General features: G+C 48.7%; 1 protein-coding gene, 1 long non-coding RNA gene and 1 pseudogene across 17 annotated transcripts, besides 4 other annotated features; 1 reads left to right on the top strand and 2 right to left on the bottom strand.

Moving 5' to 3' along the window:
- NIFKP6 (NIFK pseudogene 6) lies at positions 449-7,759 on the bottom strand (annotated as a pseudogene).
- Positions 12,094-12,143: an enhancer, noted in NCBI's record as "active region_15016". NCBI's record gives its function as "activates an Ori minimal core promoter by ATAC-STARR-seq in GM12878 lymphoblastoid cells {active_cell/tissue: GM12878}" and the evidence as "EXISTENCE:reporter gene assay evidence [ECO:0000049][PMID:35858748]".
- Positions 13,161-13,661: an enhancer, noted in NCBI's record as "H3K4me1 hESC enhancer chr19:51912204-51912704 (GRCh37/hg19 assembly coordinates)". NCBI's record gives its function as "activates a minimal SCP1, AML or CMV promoter by ChIP-STARR-seq in primed H9 embryonic stem cells {active_cell/tissue: H9 hESC(primed)}" and the evidence as "EXISTENCE:reporter gene assay evidence [ECO:0000049][PMID:30033119]".
- SIGLEC10 (sialic acid binding Ig like lectin 10) lies at positions 14,231-21,853 on the bottom strand. Of its 15 annotated transcripts, none has more exons than XM_047439602.1 (11): positions 21,756-21,853; positions 21,293-21,569; positions 20,877-20,987; positions 20,521-20,568; positions 20,109-20,378; positions 19,779-19,826; positions 19,392-19,649; positions 19,035-19,319; positions 18,633-18,726; positions 17,923-18,034; positions 14,231-15,582 (listed from the first exon to the last, which is right to left on the bottom strand). In XM_047439602.1, exons 1-11 carry the CDS (start codon positions 21,798-21,800, stop codon positions 15,310-15,312), a joined length of 1,821 nt encoding a protein of 606 aa, XP_047295558.1. In that variant the 5' UTR covers positions 21,801-21,853; the 3' UTR covers positions 14,231-15,309. The 15 variants fall into 15 exon arrangements, with proteins under 15 accessions (XP_047295558.1, XP_047295557.1, XP_047295556.1 ...); XM_047439601.1 differs by having other exon boundaries at positions 20,877-21,017; XM_047439600.1 differs by having other exon boundaries at positions 20,877-21,161.
- SIGLEC10-AS1 (SIGLEC10 antisense RNA 1) lies at positions 19,935-22,408 on the top strand. 2 transcript variants are annotated; one of them, NR_164125.1, is made up of 3 exons: positions 19,935-20,343; positions 20,640-20,941; positions 21,343-22,408. It is a non-coding gene; the product is annotated as an SIGLEC10 antisense RNA 1 (long non-coding RNA). The 2 variants fall into 2 exon arrangements; NR_164124.1 differs by having other exon boundaries at positions 20,734-20,941.
- Positions 21,783-21,952: an enhancer, noted in NCBI's record as "active region_15017". NCBI's record gives its function as "activates an Ori minimal core promoter by ATAC-STARR-seq in GM12878 lymphoblastoid cells {active_cell/tissue: GM12878}" and the evidence as "EXISTENCE:reporter gene assay evidence [ECO:0000049][PMID:35858748]".
- Positions 22,013-22,082: an enhancer, noted in NCBI's record as "active region_15018". NCBI's record gives its function as "activates an Ori minimal core promoter by ATAC-STARR-seq in GM12878 lymphoblastoid cells {active_cell/tissue: GM12878}" and the evidence as "EXISTENCE:reporter gene assay evidence [ECO:0000049][PMID:35858748]".
- Positions 22,409-23,411: the final 1,003 nt, after the last annotated feature.

Here is a 23,411-nt window from a genome sequence, read left to right on the forward strand (position 1 = left end):
GTAGAAAAAAGTTTATTTGCTGGTTATTGTTTGATCCTTGAAATACAATTCCTCACTGGTGATACTAGTATAAAATGGTGGTTATGAATCCATGCTAGCCCAACGAAAACTAATTTAACAAATTGGTAAAAAAAAAAAAAGAAGTCGTTTTTGAATCTCTATTAAGATTTGAACTAATACATAAGCAAATCTGTGCTAAAACTGGAACTGCTGGGCCAGGCGCGGTGGCTCACGCCTGTAATCCCAGCACTTTGGAAGGCCAAGGTGGGTGGATCACGAGGTCAGGAGTTCGAGACCAGCCTCACCAACATGGTGAAACCCCGTCTCTACTAAAAATCAGCTACTGGGGAGGCTGAGGCAGGATAATCACTTGAACCCAAGAGGCGGAGGTTGCAGTGAGCTGAGATCGCGCCATTGCACTCCAGCCAGGGGGACAGAGCAAGACTCCATCTCAAAACAAAACAAAACAAAAAACTGGAACTGCCTTCTCACACTACATATAATTTGCCTTCCAGCTTCAACCATCTGATGTTGAAATCTAAAGCACTCTCATGAGTTAAATGTCCCTGACAAACCATGTAGATGGACAAACCAGATTGGTGGTCTTTAACTGCTGGTGATAGAAAAAGGCTGCAGTTTAGTACTTAAACCTGCAGTTAGTGGTCAACTTTCCATCTAGGTAGAGTAACTAAGGAGAGCTGTGAAATATCAAAAGAAAACTAGAGGCCAGGACAAAGAGGCAATGTCAGTCAAGCCACTGCAAGCTGGTATGCACCCTTGTATTTCAGCCAAAGGCAGGCAATCCAAAATTACAGATTGCTTTCCTTAACTTGACCAAACAGTGCATTTTACCTCTGAAAGTCTTGTCAAGGGTTGCATTTCATTGTACCTAGTAAAACACAAAGTCCACTCTCATAAAAATATTATATTTTCCAGAAGAAATATTATATGTAATACACTGAAAATCACTGATTGCTTTTGCTTCTTTTTTTCCGTGAATGTGTAGGTGTTTGAGTCTCTTGTGTTTCTTATTTTACATAGGATATGGGCTGTTTGAAAACTATTTCATTAGCTTCATCATCGTCATTCATTTCAGCCATTTCAGATTTTCGTCTCTCCAAAAATGTTGGTGTACAAACTGGTGTGAGGCCCTGGATATCCACAGTCTTCTCAGGAGTGTCAAGAGTGCCTAAAACCTTTTTCTTCTTCTTATGTAAAAGATGGCCTTTTGTAGACGTCTGACAATTAGTTTTTGAAATACTTTCTGTTTTCTGGAAAATCAAAGAAGGAAGAAGGAAAATCATAATCAATTCCTTTTTTTTTTTTTTTTTTTTTGAGATTGAGTCTTGATCTATCGCCTAGGCTGGAGTGCAGTGGCCCAATCTCGGCTTACTGCAACCTCTACCTCCCAGGTTCAAACAGTTATCCTGCCTCAGTCTTCCAAGTAGCTGGGATTACAGGTGCCTGCCACCATGGCTGGCTAATTTATGTATTTTTAGTAGAGATGGGGTTTCACCATGTTGGCCAGGCTGGTCTCGAACTCCTGACTGTTGGGGTGATCAGACCCAACACTAGACTGTGGGGGCTATGAAGTCCGGCGGAGTCAAAGGAATGAGAAAAGACAAGAGTGCATAAGATGGGTCCAGGGGACCAATGCTAGTATGGAGGCTGCGAAGGCCGCAAGCTCTGGAAGCCCGCACTGTTTATTGGTGATCAAACAAAGAAGCAGGTAGTGAGGATGTGGGGGTTGAAAGAAAGTGGTGCATCAAGCGCATGATTTACAGCTGTGACAGTTTAGCATTTTCTTTGACGCATATGGAACATGTTCTGCTACTTGAGATAATGGGAAACATGTTCTTCTAGTTTAAGATACACTTGATCTATGAGCCTGGGAATGCTAGAAGCAAGGAGCCGGCAAGTCTAGACACATTCCAGAGGCCACGAGGGGTTTCATGCTCTGAGCCCTGGATTCCATCCAAGCCATGAGGGGTTTTATGCCCTGGGCTTAGATTACGGTGCCGCAGGGCAGCCTTCCACCCTTTAGCACAGAGCTTGGTGTTCCAAAGACCACAAGGGCTTTTAGACCCTGGACCCCGGCATGTTCCAAGACTCTTTATATTATGTCAGACTAGCAAGCCCTGCCTCAGCTTTTTTCTCACTACTTAGCTTTTCTCCAACATGACCCCCTTTTCTTTTTTGTAAAACCACCACAGCTATCATTGCTTGTTCTCGATGGTGGCTTTCTCTCCAGAGGTGGCTTCCGCATCTGCAGACTAAAAGGAGACAGCACAAGCACATAATTATTAGAACAGGATTTCCAAGTGTAGAGTTTTCAATGGCCTTAATCCGTTTAAGAGGATTGATTGCAGACAACCCATTGGCTGTCTTGTTCAAATTATCAGTTCCAGGGAGCAGGGCTAAGTGAGTCTGAGAGGCTTCAAAATCCTGCTCTTTTAGTTTTACAATTTAGAGGGTGAGATTTTCCTCTCTACCCTCTAGATGGCGTTTAACCTTCTTCCATCAGTGTTCTGTCTCATTGTAACTGAGGAGTAACACAAAAGTCAGATGTATTCCAGTCACATTGCATTTGAATTCTACTTTCTAAATTCATAATACGATCTCCCATCCAAATCTCTGTCTGACGGAGATCATTAATTTGGTTAACTATTTTTTTTTTATCTATTTGAGCTTGGGAGTTCCATAATTTTGTGGAATTCTTTTGCCACTTATTGACAAATTCAGCAGTTTTCACAGATGAATGTACAGCCACACCGGCTATTGCAGCGGTAGTAGTAACAGCAATGAGGCCAATTATAGCAAAGAAAAGAGCAACTATAAATCTTTGGGATAAGAGTTTTTTAAGGATTTAGTTACAATACGAATGGATGATGATGCCTCCCATGGTCTATTTAGAGACACATAGGGATCCAAACTCCTTCTCTGGCTTTAATTATCAGGATAGTCTGATTTTTATTAAAAGTTGGTAACATTTCCTGTTGCTAGCATAAAAGATGGCCGAACACAGCTTTGAATCCAAAAGGTCCTGTTGGAAAGAAAAGAGAGAGCATATTTATTTTTACCTCCCTCCCCTCTATACCTTTTATATGTACCCTCCCAACTTTTGATTGAACTTTCAGCCATAGCTAATTTCCATAATTCAGAATGTTCCTGTCTTATGGCAGGAGATATCATTTTTGGACTAGGGGCAACAATGCCAGCAGGACTCTATATGATAGGGGCATTAGCTTCCGTCCGAACATACTGTGTATGATTCCTTTGCCAGCGATTCCTCTGGTTTACTACATTTGTTCTACAAGAAGGCCTTCCGGTGCAATTTTCCTTAAAGATCCCCTTAGGGGACTAATCAATGGTGATTCCATAGGAATTATTTTGTAGCACCTCAGCCTTACTTGCTATACAATCTTCCCAAGTTCAAGCATCCACACCTTCAAACCAAACTTTGCTTCGCTCACATTCACGCTTATTAGGATGGAACTTCAGGGTTTTAGGATTGGAATAATTATATTTTAAACTACTCCCCCAAATCATATGCAAAGCAGCCTGTGATTTATTTTTTCCGGGGACTACTGCCAACCAAGCTTGTGTGTCAATCTGTAAGCATCCAACAACAGGTCCCAGGCATATGGGGGATATTTATATCCTATAGATATATTCATTTTATCATCCCTTCCTCATTAGGATGCATTGGCCCTTATTCAGAATGGAGTCGTTCTGGTTTGAATGCTTCTTACATATTTCCACTTTCCCTTTTACAAGAGGATCCTTAATCCTAAGGCTTGCAGAAGGATGAAGGTCCGTCTTCTGCAACTTCTTCATGCTGAATAGGGGTGATGATATTCCTGCCTAACTATTAGGGTCTCTTGTATTCAGGTAGAGAGGAGCTCAGTCAGAAAGCATTGGTCCGTTAAGCATCTATTGTACCTCTGAATCCCAGCAAAAGGTACAACCTTGGTGTTCCAGCAGTTTTTCAGCTTCCTGTGTGGTTTTTCTTGATCTGTCCCCATGTTATGGGGGTGGATGTCAGCATGACTCCGGTCGGTCCTCGTTCCGTCTTCGCATTCAGACTCAACTGGCTCATGGCTTGTACTGGGGGAACCAGGTCCACGGTTGGGATCCATGGATCTCTCCAGTCTCCCATTCCATGGTCGTACACATCTTGAGGGCATCCGCACGGTTTGTTCATCTCCTGCAAAAACACAAGCATACCCTCAAAGCCATGTTAGTAAATCTAGCGAAACAGAAGCAAAAACTTTTGTGGCTGTAGCCGGGAGGCATGCCATTGCTGAAGCATTTGTTCTACAAGCTGTAACTCAGCTTCTGCCTCTGTGGTTAATTACCATGGGGTAAAACTTTCCACTGATAATGAGAAACAGGCCCCTTCTAACAGAAGGCACAGAAAAAGCAAATCGAGGCTTATCCTTCTTGTGCAACAGTATAGCAGAAAAGCAATCCTTAAGCCTTCAATTTGCACTGTACAGGTGGGTCCACTAGATGCTGTAACTGATGATACATCTTCGGATGTTTGGTGGGCACCACACAGGCACCTGACTGTCACCTGGAGAGACACAAGCAAATCCTCTTCCCCATATAATTATCTTTCCTTTTTCTCAGCTCTTTGTATGTGCTTCCCTCCACCATATATCTTGTCCAGACTTTTTATTTTCCTTTTCTACATTCCTTTTTTGTGTGTCCAAATTGCCCACAATTAAAGCAAGAGCCTGAGAAACGGGGCACATTCCTTCCTACTTTCAATCCAGCCATAGCCTGAGCTAAAAGAGGAGCCCTATGCAAGGTATCTCCAATGCCATCGCAAGCCCCAGTATATTCAGCCAAATGAGCCTTCCCTCTCATAGGTCTGATGGCAGTTTGACACTCTGCATCAGCATTTTCATATGCAGGAAGCTGTATTACAACATCCTGAGCTGTTTTATCAGTTATGGCTTTATACACAGCCTCTTGGAGCCAAGCAATAAAATCAATATATGGTTCTTTAGGTCCCTGTCGGACGAGCTGAAAGAAGGATATTTTTCCGCTGTAACATTTATCCTTTCCCATGCCCGTAAGCATGCAGGGCACAGCTGAACAATGGCAACATCCTCCATTACTGCTTGATTTTCTAATCTACCCCAGTTGGGGCCAACTCCCATGAACTGTTCAAAGGAAACAGGCACAGGTGGCTGCGCTTGTGTGTTTTCCCTTGCCTGAGTTTGAGCTTCATCAGCCCACCAAGTTTTAAACTGTAAATACTGAGACGGAGTGAGAACAGATTTTGGTAAAGTATCCCAATTATACGGTATTAACCTAGTATCAAGAGCCACATTTTTTAACAAAGTTTGCACAAAAGGAAAGTTCGGTCCATATTGAGTAATGGCTTACTTAAATTCCTTTAATAACTTAAAAGGAAAAGTGGCCCAATTAGTTATATTCTGTCCTCCTTGCTGGATTATAGTAACTGGAAATTGCCATGCTTCAAGGTCTTCCTCAGTTCTAGCTTTTTTTTTTTTTTTTTTTAACAGAGTCTCGCTCTGTTGCTCAGGCTACAGTCCAGTGGTGCGATCTCGGCTCATTGCAACCTCTGCCTCCCGGGTTCAAGCGATTCTCCTGCCTCAGCCTCCCGAATAGCTGGGACTACAGGCGCACACCACCACGCCCGGCTAATTTTTGTGTGTCTTTAGTAGAGATGGGGTTTCACCGTGTTAGCCAGGATGGTCTTGATCTCCTGACCTCGTGATCCGCCCACCTCGGCCTCCCAAAGTGCTGGGATTACAGGCGTGAGCCACTGCGCCCGGCTTGCTCTAGCTTTTTGAATAGAATTTTGCATAGCACCACCAATTGCTCCAGGTTTTAATGTTGCAACTACAGGAGCAGAAAATTTTATAGCTAATTCACTTTCTCGCCCATTAAGGGGAAAGGGAGGAGGTGGCCATTCACTTAATTCAGCAGGTAGAGCCGATGGGCTAGTAAAATATACTTTTTTCGGTTTCCCCTTTTTTAACCTCTTCTCTTTTTTGCTCCTTGCATTCAGAATCTGAAGTTAGTTTTTTACACTCGTCCTCCTCTTCCTCATCTGAATCTCCCTCATCATCTGTTTGAAAGGGCTCAAGGGCTGCCTTTATTAGTGCCCACATTGACCAAACGGAAACTGGAATTTTTGCTCCCTCTTTATACGCCTTTTTAAAATCTCTGCCAGTTCTCTCCCATTCATCCAACTCCATAGTCCCTTGTTCTGGAAACCATGGGCAAAACTGCTTTACTGTACTAAAGAGTGATAACAAATTTTGAGTACTAACTTTCACTGCCCCTTTTTGTAATAAATGCCTTAAGAAATTCAGATAAGCAGAATGTTCGCTTTCACTTTGTCTGATTGTTACCCTGGTTCTTCTGAGCACTCAGCTTTCCCACCGAGCTTCTTTCAGTCATCCTCGGGTGTCCTCTGATGATACTTCCTCCACTTTCATGTCCTCTAGCGTTCCTTCACCGGGATCTTCATTGTCCCATGTTGGGCGCCAGGAATGCTGGGGTGATCAGACCCAGCACCAGGCCATGGGGGCTACAAAGTCTGGCAGAGTCAAAGGAATGAGAAAAGACAAGTTAAAAGTGCATAAGGTGGGTCCAGGGGTCCAACACTAGTATGGAGGCTGCGAAGGCCCCGAGCTCTGGAAGCCCGTACTGTTTATTGGTGATCAAACAAAGAGGCAGGTGGTGAGGATGTGGGGGTTGAAAGAAAGCACTGCATCAAGTGCATGATTTACAGCTGTGACAGTTTAGCATTTTCTTTGAAGCATATGGAACATTTTCTGCTACTTGAGATAATGGGAAACATGTTCTTCTAGTTTAAGATACAATTGATCTATGAGCCTGGGAATGCTAGAAACAAGGAGCCGGCAAGTCTAGACACATTCCAGAGGCCATGAGGGGTTCCATGCTCTGAGCCCTGGATTCCATCCAAGCCACGAGGGGTTTTATGCCCTGGGCTTAGATTATGGTGCCACAGGGCAGCCTTCCACCCTTTAGCACAGAGCTTGGTGTTCCAAAGGCCATGAGAGGTTTTAGACCCTGGACCCCAGACATGTTCCAAGACTCTTTTACATTATGTCAGACATGCAAGCCCTGCCTCAGCTTTTTTCCCAACACTCAGCTTTTCCCCAATACCTGACCTCAGGTGATCCACCCACCTTGGCCTCCCAAAGTGCTGGGATTACGGGCGTGAGCCACCGTGCCCAGCCAGCTAATTTCTTCCTGAGTAATCTTTATTTCTTTTTAAATCACTCCTCATCTGTAGCTTTTGTGTTAGTGTCCGATTCTGATTATACCATTTCGCTGATGGATTTGATGGCTGCTTAAATGGAATATTCCAGTGTTTAAAGAGTTCTTTATGTACTTTTCCAGGTGGCATAAAATGACACTCCAAGAGTCTTTCACCAAACAGGTAGTTGTTCATTGTTTCAGCAACTATCTTGGCAACATCCTCAGACTCAAACTCCACAAATGCATAGCCTTTGCCATTTCCAGTCATTTTACTTCTGGACAGTCTGAACTGTGTCACAGTGCCAAACTGGGAGAAATATGAAAAGATCTGGGTTTCGTTAAGTAGGGTTGTTCTTGTTTTTTTTGCTGGGTTATGTGCTTGCAAACCTGCGCCACCTCCTTTTGAAACTGGACATCTTCCTGCGGGTTAAGCAGTGAGATCTCAGCCAGGCCAGAAAAAGCTGCCATGCCAAAAGCGGCCGACACTAACTCCACGCGGTGCTCCTGGAAACGTCGGGCTCCCAGCTCCCATGAGGCAGAAAACGGGCATCTATTCTTTTAACATACGTATGTATACACAGTCCAAGTGATGGAACATCAGGATCAGTGGCAGCTGGGAGGGTGGGGGAGGCAGCACCACCTGATATTTAGGAGGGAGAATGACCGGGAGTTGCCGATACGTGGAGTGAGGGATAAGTCAGAGTTGTTCCTAAGATTTTGAGTTTGGGCAATGGTGGCATGGTAAGCTAAGATCAAGGATATGAAGGGAAGAAGGGCTTTCAGGCTGGGAGCATTTAGGAGAGCATGAGAGGATAATGCATGTGTTTTGGACATGAGGTACTTGCAGGGTGTCCACATACAGATGTCTGGGAAACAATAGATGCAGGCTGGGTGTGGTGGCTCACGCCTGTCATCCTAGTCGCCTGGATAGCTGAGGCAGGAGGCCTGCTTGAGGCCAGGAATTTGAGATCAGCATCGGCAACAAAGCAAGACCCCATATCTACCAAAAAAATTTAAGGTCGGGCATGGTGGCTCATGCCTGTAGTCCCAGCACTTTGGGAGGCTGAGGTGGATGGATCACGAGGTCAGGAGTTCGAGACCATGCTGGCCAACATGGTGAAACCCTGTCTCTACTAAGAAAAAATACAAAAATTAGTCAGGGGTGGTGGTGCATGCCTGTAATCCCAGCTACCCAGGAGGCTGAGGCAGGAGAATCTCTTGAACCTGGGAGGCGGAGGTTGCAGTGAGCTGAGATCGTGCCAGTGCACTCCAGCCTGGGAAACAGAGGGAGATTCCATCTCAAAAAAAAAAAAAAAAAAGTCAAGAAGAAATAAACGTGGTGCTCTCTGGAGCTGGAGGCTGTTGATGTAGGTGTGGGAATTACCACTTGGGAGAGTTCATCTCTGCCTGTTTCAAAATCCATCGTGAGCATTGCCAGTGCTTTCTTGAAGAGCTCTCATGAGCGTGGGGCAGGATTGGTGCCATCTTCATATCACAGGCTGTCTTAGTTCATTTGTGTGGCTATAGCAGAATACCACAAACTGGGTAATATTTAAATAATAAAAAAGTACTTCTCATGGCTCTGGAGGCTGCGAAGTCCAAGATCAAGGCACCAGCAGGTTCAGTATCTGGTGAGGGCCTGATCTCTGCTTCCAAGATGTGCCTCTCTTATGGAAGGTGGAAGGGCAAAAAGGGGCCAACACTGCGTGAAGCCTCTTTTATAGTCTAAATCCCATTCATGAAAGAGGATCCCTCATGACATAATTACCTCCTAAAGGCCCTGTCTCTTCATATTATTGCATTGGGGATTAAGTTTCAACATGAATTTTGGAGGGACACAAACTTTCAATCCATGGCAGAAACTCTTTGCAGAGCCATTTTGCTGCAAAAACTTGAGGGTGGGGGTATGACTTATTTAATAAAGATGACATTTTCTGTATAAATGATACCTAAGTCCTCCTCATTAGCAAATGTCGAATAGGACATTTTCTTTTTTTATTATTATTATACTTTAAGTTCTAGGGTACATGTGCACAACGTGCAGGTTTGTTACATATGTATACATGTGCCATGTTGGTTTGCTGCATCCATTAACTCATCATTTACGTTAGGTATTTCTCCTAATGCTATCCCTCCCCCATCCCCCAACCCCACCACAGGCCCCGGTGTGTGATGTTCCCCGCCCTGTGTCCAAGTGTTCTCATTGTTCAATTCCCACCTATGAGTGAGAACATGTGGTGTTTGGTTTTCTGTCCTTGCGACAGTTTGCTCAGAATGATGGTTTCCAGGAATAGGACATTTTCTTTCTTTTTCTCTTTCTTTCTTTCTTCTTTTTCTTTTTCTTTTTTTTTTTTTTTTTTTTTTTTTTTGAGATGCAGTCTCACTCTGTTGCCCAGGCTGGAGTGCAGTGGTGCAATCTTGGCTCACTGCAACACCCACCTCCTAGGTTCAAGTGATTCTCCTGCCTCAGCCTCCCAAGTAGCTGGGATTATAGGCACCCGCCACAACATCTGGCTAATTTTTGTATTTTTAGTAGAGACAGGGTTTTGCCATGTTAGCCAGGCTGGTCTCGAACTCCTGACCTCAAGCGATCCACCCGCCTTGGCCTCCCAAAGTCTTGGGATTACAGCCGTGAGCCACTGTGCCCCGCCCCGAATAGGACTTTTTCTGTTGCCTCTTAAATGGTTTAAAGAGGGCAGCCAATAATGGGGTCAGAAAGCTTCTCTCTGCCTAGCTTCCCAAAAAAACAAAGCTGCCAGCTGGCTGTTGGACAGGTGAGAAGTCTTTGGTGAGATGCTTCATCATCCTCTCTTTCCTGAACTCTTCACGTGTACCAGGGCTCTGGATAGGAGGGGGTGCTCCAAGAAAATGTTTAGGAAAGACTAGGGTTTCCTGATAGAATGGGAGGAATCAACACACTATCTCCCCATTGGGTGTCTGTGTGGGCAGCCAACTTCTTGCTGTGCCCTGCATCTCCCTGCGCAGGGGAGAGGAGCATTAGAGAGGAAAAGCTGGGGGCAACGAGGAGCTTGGGGCAGTGTAGCCTGCACTCCACAGTCCAGCATGGTTAGGATGTGTGGGTTTCTGAGTCCTTTCTGGCTACTATAACAACAATACCATAGGCTGGATGGGTTGTAAACAATGAAAATTTATTTCTTATAGTTTTAGAGGCTGGGAAGTCCAAGATCAAGATGTCAGCAGATTCAGTGTCTGATGTGGACTCACTTCCAGGCTTACAGATGGTGCCTTCTGGTTGTGTCCTCACTTGGTAGGAGGGACAGCTCTCTGGGGTCTCTTATTAAGGGCACTAATCCCATTTATGAGGGCACCACCCTCATGACCTAATCACCTTCCAAAGGTCTTGACTTCAAATATCATTACATTGGGGGTTAGGAATTCAACCTAGACTTTGGAAGGACACATACATTTTGTCTATAGCAGGGGGTGGATGGACACGAAGGAGGGTAGCTGGGCTTCTGCAATCTAGGTGATATGTCACCCAAGAAAGCGGTAAGAGGCTGCATGGTGTCTGCCAATGGTGGAATTGGAGAAGGTATGGGAGAAGCAGGGGACACAACTCTCATATCAAGAAACAGAGGAGGCTGGGCACGGTGACTCACATCTGTTATCCCAGCACTTTGGGAGACTGAGGCAAGCAAAGCAGTTGGGGTCAGGAGTTGGAGACCAGCCTGGTGAACATAGCGAAACCCCATCTCTAGTAGTAAAAATACAAAAATTAGCTGGGTGTGGTGGCGCGCACACGTGTAGTCCCAGCTACTCGGAAGGCTGAGGCATAAGAATCGCTTGAACCCGGGAGGCAGAGTTTGCAGGGAGCCAAGATCGCACCATTGCACTCCAGCCTGGGCAGCAGAACAAGACTCTTGTCTCAAAAACGAAAACCAAACAAGCAAACAAACAAAAAAACATGATTGACTCAGTGATCAGAAAACATATAACTATTTTATATTCATACTTCCTGCAGTTAATGTCCCAGTTGACTGGTTAAAAAGAATATTTGGGGGCCAGGCGCAGTGGCTCATGCCTGTAATCCCAGCACTTTGGGAGGCCGAGGCGGGCGGATAACAAGGTCAGGAGATCAAGACCATCCTGGCTAACACAGTGAGACCCCGTCTCTACTAAAAATACAAAAAATTAGCTGGGCGCGGTGGCAGGCACCTGTAATCCCAGCTACTCGGGAGGCTGAGGCAGGAGAATGGCATGAACCCGGGAGGCGGAGCTTGCAGTGAGCCAAGATTGCACCACTGCACTCCAGCCTGGGCGACAGCGAGACTGTCTCAAAAAAAAAAAAAAAAAAAGAAAAAGAATATTTGGCAATACGGAAAGTTCCCCTTGGGTTTTCTGACTCCAAGCCTGGTGTTTTTGTTTGTTTGTTTGTTTGTTTTCATTTGCACAACATTGCCTTTCCCCAAGAGTACTGGATAACAATGCCCTCCCTCCAAGTCCCAAGTCACTATTGCAGAAGTCAGGACCTTAACACACACATTTCAAAGTTACTGACACCTAGTCAAACCTGGTGCCTTAGCAATGCAATCTTGTAATTTCCCAGGTCAAACAGATCTTCAAGGGTTGCTCTCATGGCAGAATTTGGTGGTAGAAGGAAGGAAGCAGAGTCTCAGTCTTTGTGCAGCTTGTAGGGAGTTCCCTTTTTCTCAAGCCCTTGCAGCATCCTTCCCACTCTAAGCTTAAAGGAGACTGTGTAACCAGCAGTGCTCACCCATCCTGGGCCTGAGTTTGAATCCCAGCTCTGGAGTTCAGCTGTGTGACATGCAAGACCTTGTCCCTCTCTGAAGTCCTTCTGTAAAATGAGGTGGCTGCATTGGGTGATCCCATTCCACACCATGAGTCTATAGTCCTATCATCCTGGGTATACCGACGTCTGGTGGCCAACTTTGGTCCTTGCAGCTAATTCAGGTTTTTTCTTTGTTTTTGAGACATAGTCTCGCTGTGTCACCCAGGCTAGAGTGCAGTGACGCGATCTCAGCTCACTGCAGCCTCTGCCTCCCAGGTTCAAGCGATTCTCATGCCTCAGGATCCTGAATAGCTGAGGAATACAGGCACCTGCCACCACACCTGGCTAATTTTTGTATTTTTAGTAGAGACAGGCTCTCGCTCTGTTGCTCAGACTGGTCTCGAACTCCTGAGCTCAAGTGATCCGCCTGCCTCGGCCTCACAAAGTGCTGGATTACAGGCGTGAGCCACCGTGTCCAGCTCAGTTTTTAATTTTTTATTTTTCAGTATCTGGAGTGTTTAGCACAGCCAGGAAACAAAACACACCAGAGAGGGCCACCTTGCCATGTCACCAACGATGCAATAACTACCGAAGAAAGGCCCCTTGGGTGGCTATGGAGGAGCAGAGGTCAGCAGAGGAGATGGCCAGCAAAGTGCTCTCCTTTGCTCTATTTCTTTTCTTTTGAGACGGAGTCCCACTCTATTGCCCAGGCTGGAATGCAGTGGCATGATCTCGGCTTCTGCAACCTCCATCTCCCAGGTTCAAGCAATTCTCCTGCCTCAGCCTCCCGAGGAGCTGGGATTACAGGTGCCCGCCACCACACCTGGCTAATTTTTGTATTTTTTTAGGTGAGACGGGGTTTCACCATGTTGGCCAGGCTGGTCTTGAACTCCTGACATCAGGTGATCCGCCCACCTCAGCCTCCCAAAGTGTTGGGATTACAGGCGTGAGCCACTGTGTGATTCTTAGCATGTTGTAAGTTTGTCATTGTTCCATTTCCAAAGCATTCCAACCTCCATCCCCGCATGCGTTTGCACTTCTTTAGATTTGTGGGTCTGAGAGCGCATTAGCACCCCATCCACATGCAGTCTCCTGCCCTTCCAATCCTCACCCTGAAAACCTTCCTGTAGTCACAGACCTAGTCATTTTTCCCACGGCTACTCTTGAACTCTTTATGGACCTCTGCGCTCGCTTCCTCTTCTGTGAAAACAAATGAGTTTATGTAGATTAAGATCTAGCCAACTTCTGTAAAGGATCAGATGGTAAATATTTTAGGCTTTGCAGGCTAGTGACTCAACTCTGCATGAAAATAACTGCAATGTGTAAAGGAATGAGCATGGTTGGGCACCACACTGAAATTTGAATTTCATCTCCTTCCCAGGGGCCCCAGAAGAGTCTTCTTCTTCGGACTTTTTCCCCAAGCATTTAAATGTAAAAACATTTCTAGCTTGCAGGTGGTATGAAAATAGGCAGCAGGCTGGAGGTGACTGAGGAGCCTATCTAGTCTTTTTTTTTTTTTTAAACAGAGTCTCGCTCTGTTGCACAGGCTGGAGTGCAGTGGCGCCATCTCAGCTCACTGCAACCTCGGCCTCCTGGGTTCAAGCAAATCTGCCTCAGCCTCCCGAGTAGCTGGGACTACAGTTGCGCACCACCACGCCCAGCTAATTTTTGTATTTTTAGTAGAGACGGGGTTTTACCATGTTGGCCAGGCTGGTCTCAAACTCCTGGCCTCAAGCGATCCATCAGCCTCAGCCTCCCAAAGTGCTGGGATTACAGGCGTGAGCCACTGCGCCTGGCTGTATCTAGTCATCTTTAAAGACCCTCCCATCTCTGAGAACCCATGAAACTGCGCAGTCCTCTGGACTGGAGCTGGGGTGTGTCAAAGGCAAATCTTTGCCTGCCTTCTCAGAACACCATATTCAGAGAAGGCCATTCAGGACAGATTTGTCAGGCTGTTCCGAATGCCCAGGTCTGGGATGAGATGGCCTATCCATGGAGGATTTTTATTTTTTCGAGACAGGGTCTCACTCTGTTGCTCAGGCTGGAGTGCAGTGGTGTGATCTTGGCTCACCACAGCCTCTGCTTCCTGGGTTCAAGTGATCCTCCTGCGTCTGCCTCCCAAGTAGCTGTGTTACAAGAAAGGGGTCCTGATCTAGACCCCCCAAGAGAGGGTTCTTGGATCTCACACAAGAAATAATTCAAGACGAGGCGGTAAGGTGAAAGCAAGTTTATTAAGAAAGTAAAGGAACAAAAGAATGGCTACTCCATAGACAAGAGCAGCGCCTAGAGCTGCTGGTTGCCCACTTTTATGGTTATTTCTTGCTTATTTGCTAAACAAGGGGTGGATTATTCATTCCTCCCCCTTTTGGGACATATCGGGTAACTTCCTGATGTTGCCATGGCATTTGTAAACTGTCATGGTGCTGTCAGGAGTGTAGCAGTGAGGACGACCAGAGGTCACTCTCGTGGCCAACTTGGTTTTGGTGGGATTTGGTTGGCTTCTTTACTGCAATCTGTTTTATCAGCAAAGTCTTTATGACCTGTATCTTGTACGGACCTCCTGTCTCATCCTGTGACTTAGAATGCCTCCACTGTCTGAGAATGCAGCCCAGTAGGTCTCAGCCTCATTTTATTCAGCTCCTATTCCAGATGGAGTTGCTCTGGTTTAAATGTCTGACAGCTGGGACTACAGGCACACACCACCAAGCCCAGCTATGTTTTGTATTTTTTGTAGAGATGGGGTTTCACCATGTTGCCCAGGCTGGTCTCGAACTCCTGGGCTCAAGCAATCCACCCACCTTAGCCTCCCAAAGTGCTGGGATTACAGACACCCAACCCATTTGGAGGATTTTTTTTTTGAGATGGAGTCTCGCTTTGTTGCCCAGGCTGGCGTGCAATGGTGTGATCTTGGCTCACTGCAACCTCCGTCTCCCAGGTTCAAGTGATTCTCCTGCCTCAGCTTCCCAAGTAGGTAGGATTACAGGCGCCTGCCACCATGCCCAGCTAATTTTTGTATTTTTAGTAGAGACGGGGTTTCACCAAGTTGGCCAGGCTGGTCTCGAACTCCCGACCTCAGGCGATCTGCCCACCTCAACCTCCCAAAGTGCTGGGATTACAGGCGTGAGCCACTGTGCCCTGGCCAGATGTTTTTTTAAAAGAGAGAGAAAGAGAGAGAGAGAGAGAAAGAGAGAGAGAGAGGGAGAGAAGGAAACTTTGCACTCTGTTATCTTCAACCTCTTACTCTACCTTCCTCCCTAGCCGAAGTCCCAGTCCTAAAGCCTAAGAGACCCTCATTGGAACTTGACTTCTGCATAATCCGCCTGGGTGCCCTTGGGCATCCGGGCCTCAGGCCTGGGTCTGACGCCTGGGAAGTTGAGCGTGGCATAATGGAGCTCCTCTTGGCTCTCCTGGGATTCTGGGGCTTGAGTGGATGATTTGGGTTCTGGGAAACTGGGCAACTGATACTGCTTTTTCTGGTTCTTCTTTGATTCTGGGGAGGGAGCACCTGGTGGAAGAGGGGTCCGAGGACTGTTTGGTGTGGCTTTCTGATTCCGCTTCTGAGCCTGAGGGAAGAACCACCATCCTTCATTCATTCATTCAGCAAATATTTGAGCACTTACCACGCGTCGGGCACTGATTTACAGCACAGAGTGAAACTAAGTCCCTGCCCTTGCCTTGCTGAGCTTGCATTCCATCTTGGAAGGAGGAACAGACAATAATTAGCAAAAGTACAATGACTGGTAAGTGACAAATGCCATCAAGAAATTTGAGCACCTTTAGAAGGCAGCGAAAGGGAGGGTGGGATGACTGTTTAATAGGTCATCCAGGGAATTTCAAGACCGGCCTGGCCAACATAGCGAAACCCTGTCTCTACCACAAATACAAAAATTAGCCGGGCGTGGTGACACATGCCTGTGGTCCCAGCTACTCAGGAGGCTGAGGCAGGAAAATCACTTGAACCTGAGAGGTGGAGGTTGTAGTGCGCTGAGACTGCGCCACTGCACTCCAGCCCGGACAACAGAGACAAAATCTGTTTCAAAAAAATAATTGATAGCCGGGTACGGTGGTTCACACCTGTAATCCCAGCACTTTGGGAGGCTGAGGCGGGTGGATCACCTGAGGTCAGGAGTTTGAGACCAGCCTGATCAACATGGTGAAACCCCGTCTCTACTAAAAATACAAAAATTAGGGGGGCATGGTGGTGGATGCCTGTAATCCCAGCTACTCAGGAGGCTGAGGCAGATGAATCGCTTGAACCAGGAGGTGGAGGTTGCAGTGAGCCGAGACCTTGCCACTGCACTCCAGCCTAGACAACAACAGTGAAATCCCATCTCAAAAAATAAAATAAAATAAAAATAAATAAAATAAAGAATAGCATGCATGCACGGAGAGAAAGACTGGAGGGGGTGAGAACGGAAGCAGAGAAGGCATGCAGAAGGGGCCAGTGGTGCCCGGGGTGGGGTGGGGGGTGTTGATGCATGGCTTGTAGTAGTGAGGGAAGAGTAGGGAGAACTGGCTTGGTTGTATTTTGAAGGGAATTTGCTGATGGATTGGTTGTGGGGTGACAGAGAAGAGAGGAGTGAAATATGATTCTAAAGCTTTAGACTTGGCTGGGAAAATGTGGTGTTATTTGCTAAGATGGGGATAGAGATGGAGCATAAATGGTGGAATTAGTCTTTTTTTTTTTTTAGATGAAGTTTCGCTCTTGTTGCCCAGGCTGGAGTGCAGTGGCATGATCTCACTGCAACCTCCACCTCCTGGGTTCAAGTAATTCTCCTGCCTCAGCCTCCCGAGTAGCTGTGATTACAGGCACCCATCACCATGCCCAGGTAATTTTTTGTATGTTTAGTAGAGATGGGGTTTCACCATGTTGAACACGCTGCTCTTAAAATTTTGACCTCAGGCGATCCACCCACCTCGGCCTCCCAAAGTGCTGGGATTACAGGTGTGAGCCAGCAGGCGTGGCCTTTTTTTTTTTGAGACAGGGTCTCACTCTGTCACCCAGGCTGGAGTGCATGGTGTCATCATGGCTCACTGTAGCCTCCAACTCCCAGGCTCAAGAGATCCTCCCACCTCAGCCTCCCAAGTAGCTGGGACAATGGGCATGCACCACCACACCCGGCTAATTTTTTATTTTTTTTGTAGAGAAGAGGTCTCACTATGTTGCTCAGGCTGGGGAATTATCTTAAGTTGGTTTTGGACAGGCTAAGTTTGAAGTGCTGATTAGACACCCACATGGAGATGTTGCATAGACAGTCTTCAGGGAAGGAGCCACGAGATACAATTTTGCAGTCATCAGCATAAGATGTTATCTCTTAATAATTTCCAGAATTTACAGAGTATTACCCAGGGGCCAGGTGATATTCTGAATATTTTATTATGCAAGTACAATATATTTAACACCCAGCATCATCCTAGGAGGTGGCCGCTAGTATTGTCTCCATGTTACAGCTAAAGAAATTGAGGCACAGAGAAGTTAAGACACTTGTTTCATGACACAGTGATGACAGCAGGATTTGAACCCATGCAGGCTGATTTCAGACCCCCTGTGCTGAATCCCTAGGATGCCCAGCCTCCCGATGATACACATAATTGTTAAGCAGTTAAGTGTAGTCATGTCAATGGTGGCAGTAATAATGGAACAATGGCTACAGATTGAGAAAGTGCATGTATTCTAATCCTCAAACCAACTCTCAAAGGAGACAGAGGAAGAAATGAAGGCTCAGAGGGGGTGAGTGACGTGGCTGAGGTCTCATAGCTAGTAAGTGCCAGGCAGGATTTGAATTCAGAACTATCGGTGCTTTTCCCACCTTGATGTCGCTAAGACAAGGGGTGCAAAAGTCAGAAAGTGGGATGTCAGCTTTAGAGAAGAGAAAAAGTGGAAGCATGGCCCAGACACTCACCAGGGGGCCAGCCGTCGGGACCACATTGATGTAATCCAGGATCGTGCTGTGCCGGGAGAACCTGGGCCTCGGGGTTTCTGTCTGAGTCCGTCTCTTCGGTAGAATCTTCATGCTGAGGAAATGAACCCACCTGTTTGTGCCCTGCTGCACCTCCCTGTGACAGACTGCCACGTTTACTACCTGAGACCGTCACTATGACAGTTACTACTGTTACCACTTGAGACCGTCATTATGAGACTGAAAGAAGGAGGACAAACGTAGAAATGAAAACTTAAGACAAAAGAAATTATTTTAAAGGAAGGGGTCAGGGGAAGAAGAAGAGGGTTCCCTGCTACTAGTGAGCCAGGGCAGCTGTCTGAGCCTCTACAGCCCTTTGTATTTATTGGGTAGAAAGAGCAGAGAGCAGGAGGTAACAATTGGTCAGCTGTTTAATTGATCACAGGTTCATATTATTACTAACAAGCTTCAGCTGTGCCTAATTACAAGAAACACTTCGCTTGGGGCGTGACTGCCCTCAGCATTCCCTCTGGGAAGCAGACGCAGTTTGTCAGTTGGACAACATTCTGCATTTATGAGAACAGTTTGCTGTTTACTCATGTAACCTCCAGAGGTATACTGCGTTGATCACGACCTTCACTCTTTCGGCCTGCAACACCTCCCCTCTTCCTGGGTCCAGGCCCCAGACCCCGCCACGCCTCCTCTTAACCTACATGATCAGGGCCAGGCAGAGGAAAAGAAGAGCCGTGATGCCGATTCCCAGAAACGCTCCGTTGGAGAATGCCGTTGAGATGAGTCCCTTCTTATCTGCACACGGAGAGGGCAAGGTGAGCATTTCCCATCCACGCAGGGCTCACGAAGCCCGCTCATCACTCGGCATTAAGGCTTCCGGTTCCCATGGCGGACATTGTATCTGCAACCCCTCTGTTTACTTTTAGGAAACCCTGCCACACCCCGGCCCAGGTGTTAGGACTTCCCATTGTGTTTTCCTGTCTACATACAGATGCCACGGGTCTGCTGTGTCCCTCCAAGCTCCTGCTCCAACCACAGGACCCTACTCTTTGCCCCAGTCAGCTTCTCCTCCAAGAACCTTGGCATCCAGGCGGCCCCCTAACCTGGCAGCTGCAGGATGGATCCACTCTGGGCCCCATGGACGTTCCAGGCCTCACAGCGGAGCCTGAGGCCGGAGCTGAGCCCTCCATGGAGGCTCAGGGAGCTGTTGGCCCAGGGCCCGGCTGAGCTGGGGGTGACCTCGAAGGAGTCCTGGCTGCTGTTCCCCTCCAGCAGCTCCTCCCCAAGCCACCAGCGCAGAGAGGGGGCCGGGCTGGCCTGGGAGGAGCAGCTGCAGTGCAGACCCTCAGCCTCCCAGGAGCAGGAGGGGCCCAGCAGCTTCGGGGAGTCTGAGGGGAGGGAGGACAGGACTCAGCAGGGTCCCCTTCCTGGGACCCAGGTGTCCCCTTTCCCCCACTCACAGTGCACGGAGAGGCTGAGAGAGACGTGCTGGGAGCCCAGTGGGTGCCGAGCGTGGCAGGTGAACTCTCCTTCGTGCTCCACTTGAACCCGAGGCAGCTCCAGGACCCCGGGGTCTGAGGGCTGGGAGGGGCTCAGAACCTGTCCCCTCTGGGTCCAGCTCAGCCTGGCTGGGGGGCTGCTGTGTGTGACACAGACCAGGCACAGGCTTTGGCCCTCCAGTACTGGGAGAGACGTGCCGTTCCCAAGGTTTTCCAGGACTAGGGAAGGAAGAGGCAGAATCGATGAGCAGCTCAGGGCTCAGGGACCCTCCTGCGTGGGGACCCTCCAGACTCCTGGGCCCCCAATTCGGCACTGAGAGGCCTTGGCTCCTCTGTCCCCTTTCCTACCTGTCCTGTTTGCTTGGGAAACCATCACTCTCAGGTTCTCTGGAGGATCTGAAATGGAGACAGGGGACCGGCTCTAGACGGACCAGGGGCTTCCCTCTGGGTAAAGGGAACCATCCTGGACACTGAGGTGGGGGAAGTGGGTGGGATAGAAGGGCAGGGCAGAATCACCCACTGAGTCCCAGACACAAACTGCATGAGGGTCTACACAGGTAAGAAGGTCGGTCTCCGAGGCCTGGGGCTCCAGGCCCCCTCAGCTCTGGGACCCTGAGCCCAGCCCCTGTATCCCTCTGCCCTCCCAATGGACTCCAGGCCCCTGCTGGGCACACTCACACTGCACAGAGAGGTCCAGGGCTCGCTGCTGGGAGCCAAGCCTGTTCTCCGCTCGGCAGGTGTAGCGCCCTGAATCCCCAGCCTTCACCCCGGGCAGCTCCAGCCCCAGGGGTCTAGGGCCCCAGGGATGGGACGAGGAGAGGACTCTGTTCTGCAGGACCCAGCTCAGTGTGGCAGGGGGCTGGCTGTCAGCAGCACAGAGGAGCCGCAGGAACTGGCCTTTTTGGGCTTCCAGGTATGGGACATTTCCCTGGGGCTGGGGCTCCAGGGCTGGAGTGGGAGGAAAAAAAAAAAAGAGAGAAAGGGAGGGAGAAAGAGAGAAGGGGTACAGGGAGGAGCACATCCCCTCATCCCCTGAAGCCTTTTCATCTAAAGACAACTGGCCCAGCCCCAGCCCGACGGCCCTCAGTACCTGGCGTGTTGTCACGTGAAATGCTGATAACAAGGTCTCTGGGGGCATCTGCAACAAGATTGTGAGCTGGCTTCAGGGAGGGACAATTTATTCCTCACACCTGGAAAAAACTCCCTCAGGGAAAAGAAAGTGGGACTATCCCGGGAAGACAAGTGACAACCAGCGCCAGGGCTCACGTGTGTGGACCAGACGCCATTCCCATCCCCCTCCCAGGGCTGCGGCGGCATCCTGGGACCCCACAGCTTCCTCTCCCTGGATGCTCCTGAGCTGGGAGCCGCTCACTGTCCCACTGGGCTCCTCCACCTCCCCACCCACCGGGGCTGTCTGCACACCCCACCCTCCCAGGCCACACTCACAGGCCACACGGAGTCGGACGGTCCTCTGTGCGCTCACACCCTTTCTGGAGAAGTCCACATGGCAGGTGAGGTCGGTGTTGTGGTCCTGGGGTCTGGGCGTGAAGCTGAGCACTGAGAAGTGGGAGGTCGTTGGTTTGGTTCCTTGGGAGGAGAGGGCAGCCCCCGTCCAGGAGAAAGAAGGGGGTGGACATTCCTCAAAGGCCCAGTTAAACACACAGATGACCGTCACCGGCTGCCCGGGCTCCAGGGTCTCGGGGATGTAGACATCAGGCTTCTGAGTCAGGGCTGGGACAGAGACCGTGGTGGGAGATTCTTGTGCTGCAGGGGTCCCTGAGAGCCCTCTCTGCTCAGCCCATAGGCTGTCCCCAGGGTCCCTCCCCAGTGTGAGAGGCAGGGGTTCCCACCCCATTCCATACCTGTTACTTTTAGAAAGAACCCATCGTTCATGAAATTATATCTCACATAGCTTCCTCTCTCCACCCGAAAGAAGTACTGTGACTCATCCTGCATCTGCGCGTCTCTGATCACCAAGGAGCAGTTCCCCTTGGCGGGATCCCCAGTGAGCTGGAATCGGCCCCGGGTGCTCATTTCCACCTCTCGACTCTGGTGGTTTGTGGCCACAGGAGCACCCTTGGTTGTCTCAGTCACTGCTTTGAACCAGTAGCCATAAGCTGGGGTAGACCCTGTCCAGTCCTGTCGGGGGTAGGAGAAAGAGCAGGGCACAGAGATGCACAGGCCCTCCGGCACCATCACTGACTCCTGCACTCGTATCCAGAATCTCCCATCCATAGCCTGGGACCCTGTGGGGAGACAGAGGCTCAACCTGCAACCCCAGCCCTAGCTCCGCCCCAGGTCCTTTCCGGCCCTTGGCCCACTCACCGCCCAGCAGCGAGGACAGCAGCAGTGGCAGTAGCATCTCCGCATAGGAGGCGCAGGGCCTGCCTGAGACAGGCCTGTTCTCTGGTCGTGCTGTGAGTGGCTCAGGGCTCTTGGCAGAAGGGGAAGCCGAAGGCGGAAGCTGAGCCCTGGGGCCTGATGCATGAAATGAGCTTCAGACGCTGAGCTCACAGAACTCCTTTGCCTTCCCCCACACTCTCCGGCCCACCTTGCCCAGTTGTCCTCTGGGTCTCCTGGGGGCCCAGCCTGGCCTTGGGCTTGTTGAGCTGGTCCTTCCAGAGCTCCCTGTGTAGGAGGAGAGGGCAGGCTTGTGTCTATCCTGGGGGCCTGGCTGGGGGTGGGGTAGTGGGGTGGGGGCTCTCCCTCTGGGCCCTGGGTCATCGGAAAAGCAGAAGTGAGAAGTCCACAGTGAGCTACCCTTATCTGGGCCACTGGTGGTGGAGGTGGTGGGTACAGGGGAAGGGACCGTTACTGGAGGGGGCTGGTCTTGTCAGGTAAAATGCAGGATGCCTGGTTAAAGCTTTCACAGACAATATAAAGTATTTTATTTTATGTTTTTTGGTATAAGTATGTCCGAAATGCTGCATGGGATATACTTATACCAGAAAGCAAAATAAATTTATCTGAAATTCAAATTAATTAATTAATTAATTATATTTTGAGACAGAGTCTCACTCTGTCACCCAGGCTGCAGTGCAGTGGTGCAATCTCTGCTTACTGCAACCTCCACCTCCCAGGCTGAAGTGATTCTCCTGCCTCAGCCTCCTGAGTCTGGGCTTACAGGCACGCGCCACCACGCCAAGCTAATTTTTGTATTTTTAGTAGAGGTGGGGTTTCACCATGTTGGCAGGGCTGGTTTTGAACTCCTGACCTCAAATGATCCACCTGCCTTGACCTCCCAAAGTGCTGAGATTACAGGTGTGAACCACCGCACCTGGCCTAAAATTCAAATTTAACTGAGCATGTTGAATTTCTTTTTTTCTAAATCTGGCCACCGTAGGGTGGTGTCAGCTCCACCTCTTCATGCTTCCTGGTGAGCTCACTGACCCTTGGTCCCCAGAAGCAGTCTCCTGCCCCAACCAGGCCCTAGTCCACTTCCCAGTCTCCCTTCCTCCTCTGTCATTCAATTGGGACACCCATTGGGATTAGAACACATATGTCCAAAGCTAATGCTGATGGGAAGAGTTTGAGGAAGGCGGGAGTGAGGGGCAGAGTGGGGGGAACAGACTAGGGAAGGGGTAATTTGCAATGAATGGAGTAAACTCTACAAGATGTTTTCCCCTCACTGAGCTCTTCCTGAAATGACTCTGTTTGGGTCACACCGAAACACAGAACTCATCCTTCAACCTCCACATACCTTGGGTATCAAGCACTGAGCTTTAGGGGGACTTGGAGGTGAATCCTCCATGGTGAGTCAGCTCCAGGGCCCCAGGTTAGCAAATGAAGATTCTTAGAAACAAAGTACAGAAGGTCCCCTAAATGAACTGGATGCTGGACAGACATTCAGGATGGGACCTGGGGAAGGAGTGGTCAGCTCTTCCTGGTGGAGGGAAGTCAGGAGAGGCCTCCTGGAGGAGATGACCCAGCCTCTGCCCTGTCCTGGTTCTTTCATCCATGGCATTTTTGTTTTTTGTTTTT

This window comes from Homo sapiens, chromosome 19 (assembly GCF_000001405.40).
Source record: "Homo sapiens chromosome 19, GRCh38.p14 Primary Assembly".
Lineage (NCBI taxonomy): Eukaryota > Metazoa > Chordata > Mammalia > Primates > Hominidae > Homo > Homo sapiens.

Coding starts and splice junctions, on each gene's coding strand:
- SIGLEC10 (NM_033130.5), bottom strand. CDS start 21,792: ATGCTACTGCCACTGCTGCTGTCCTCGCTGCTGGGCG. Junction 21,677..21,755: donor GCTGTCCTCGCTGCTGGGCG/GTGAGTGGGCCA, acceptor GTCTCCCCACAG/GGTCCCAGGCTATGGATGGG. Junction 20,569..20,876: donor CGTCCGACTCCGTGTGGCCT/GTGAGTGTGGCC, acceptor ATCTTGTTGCAG/ATGCCCCCAGAGACCTTGTT.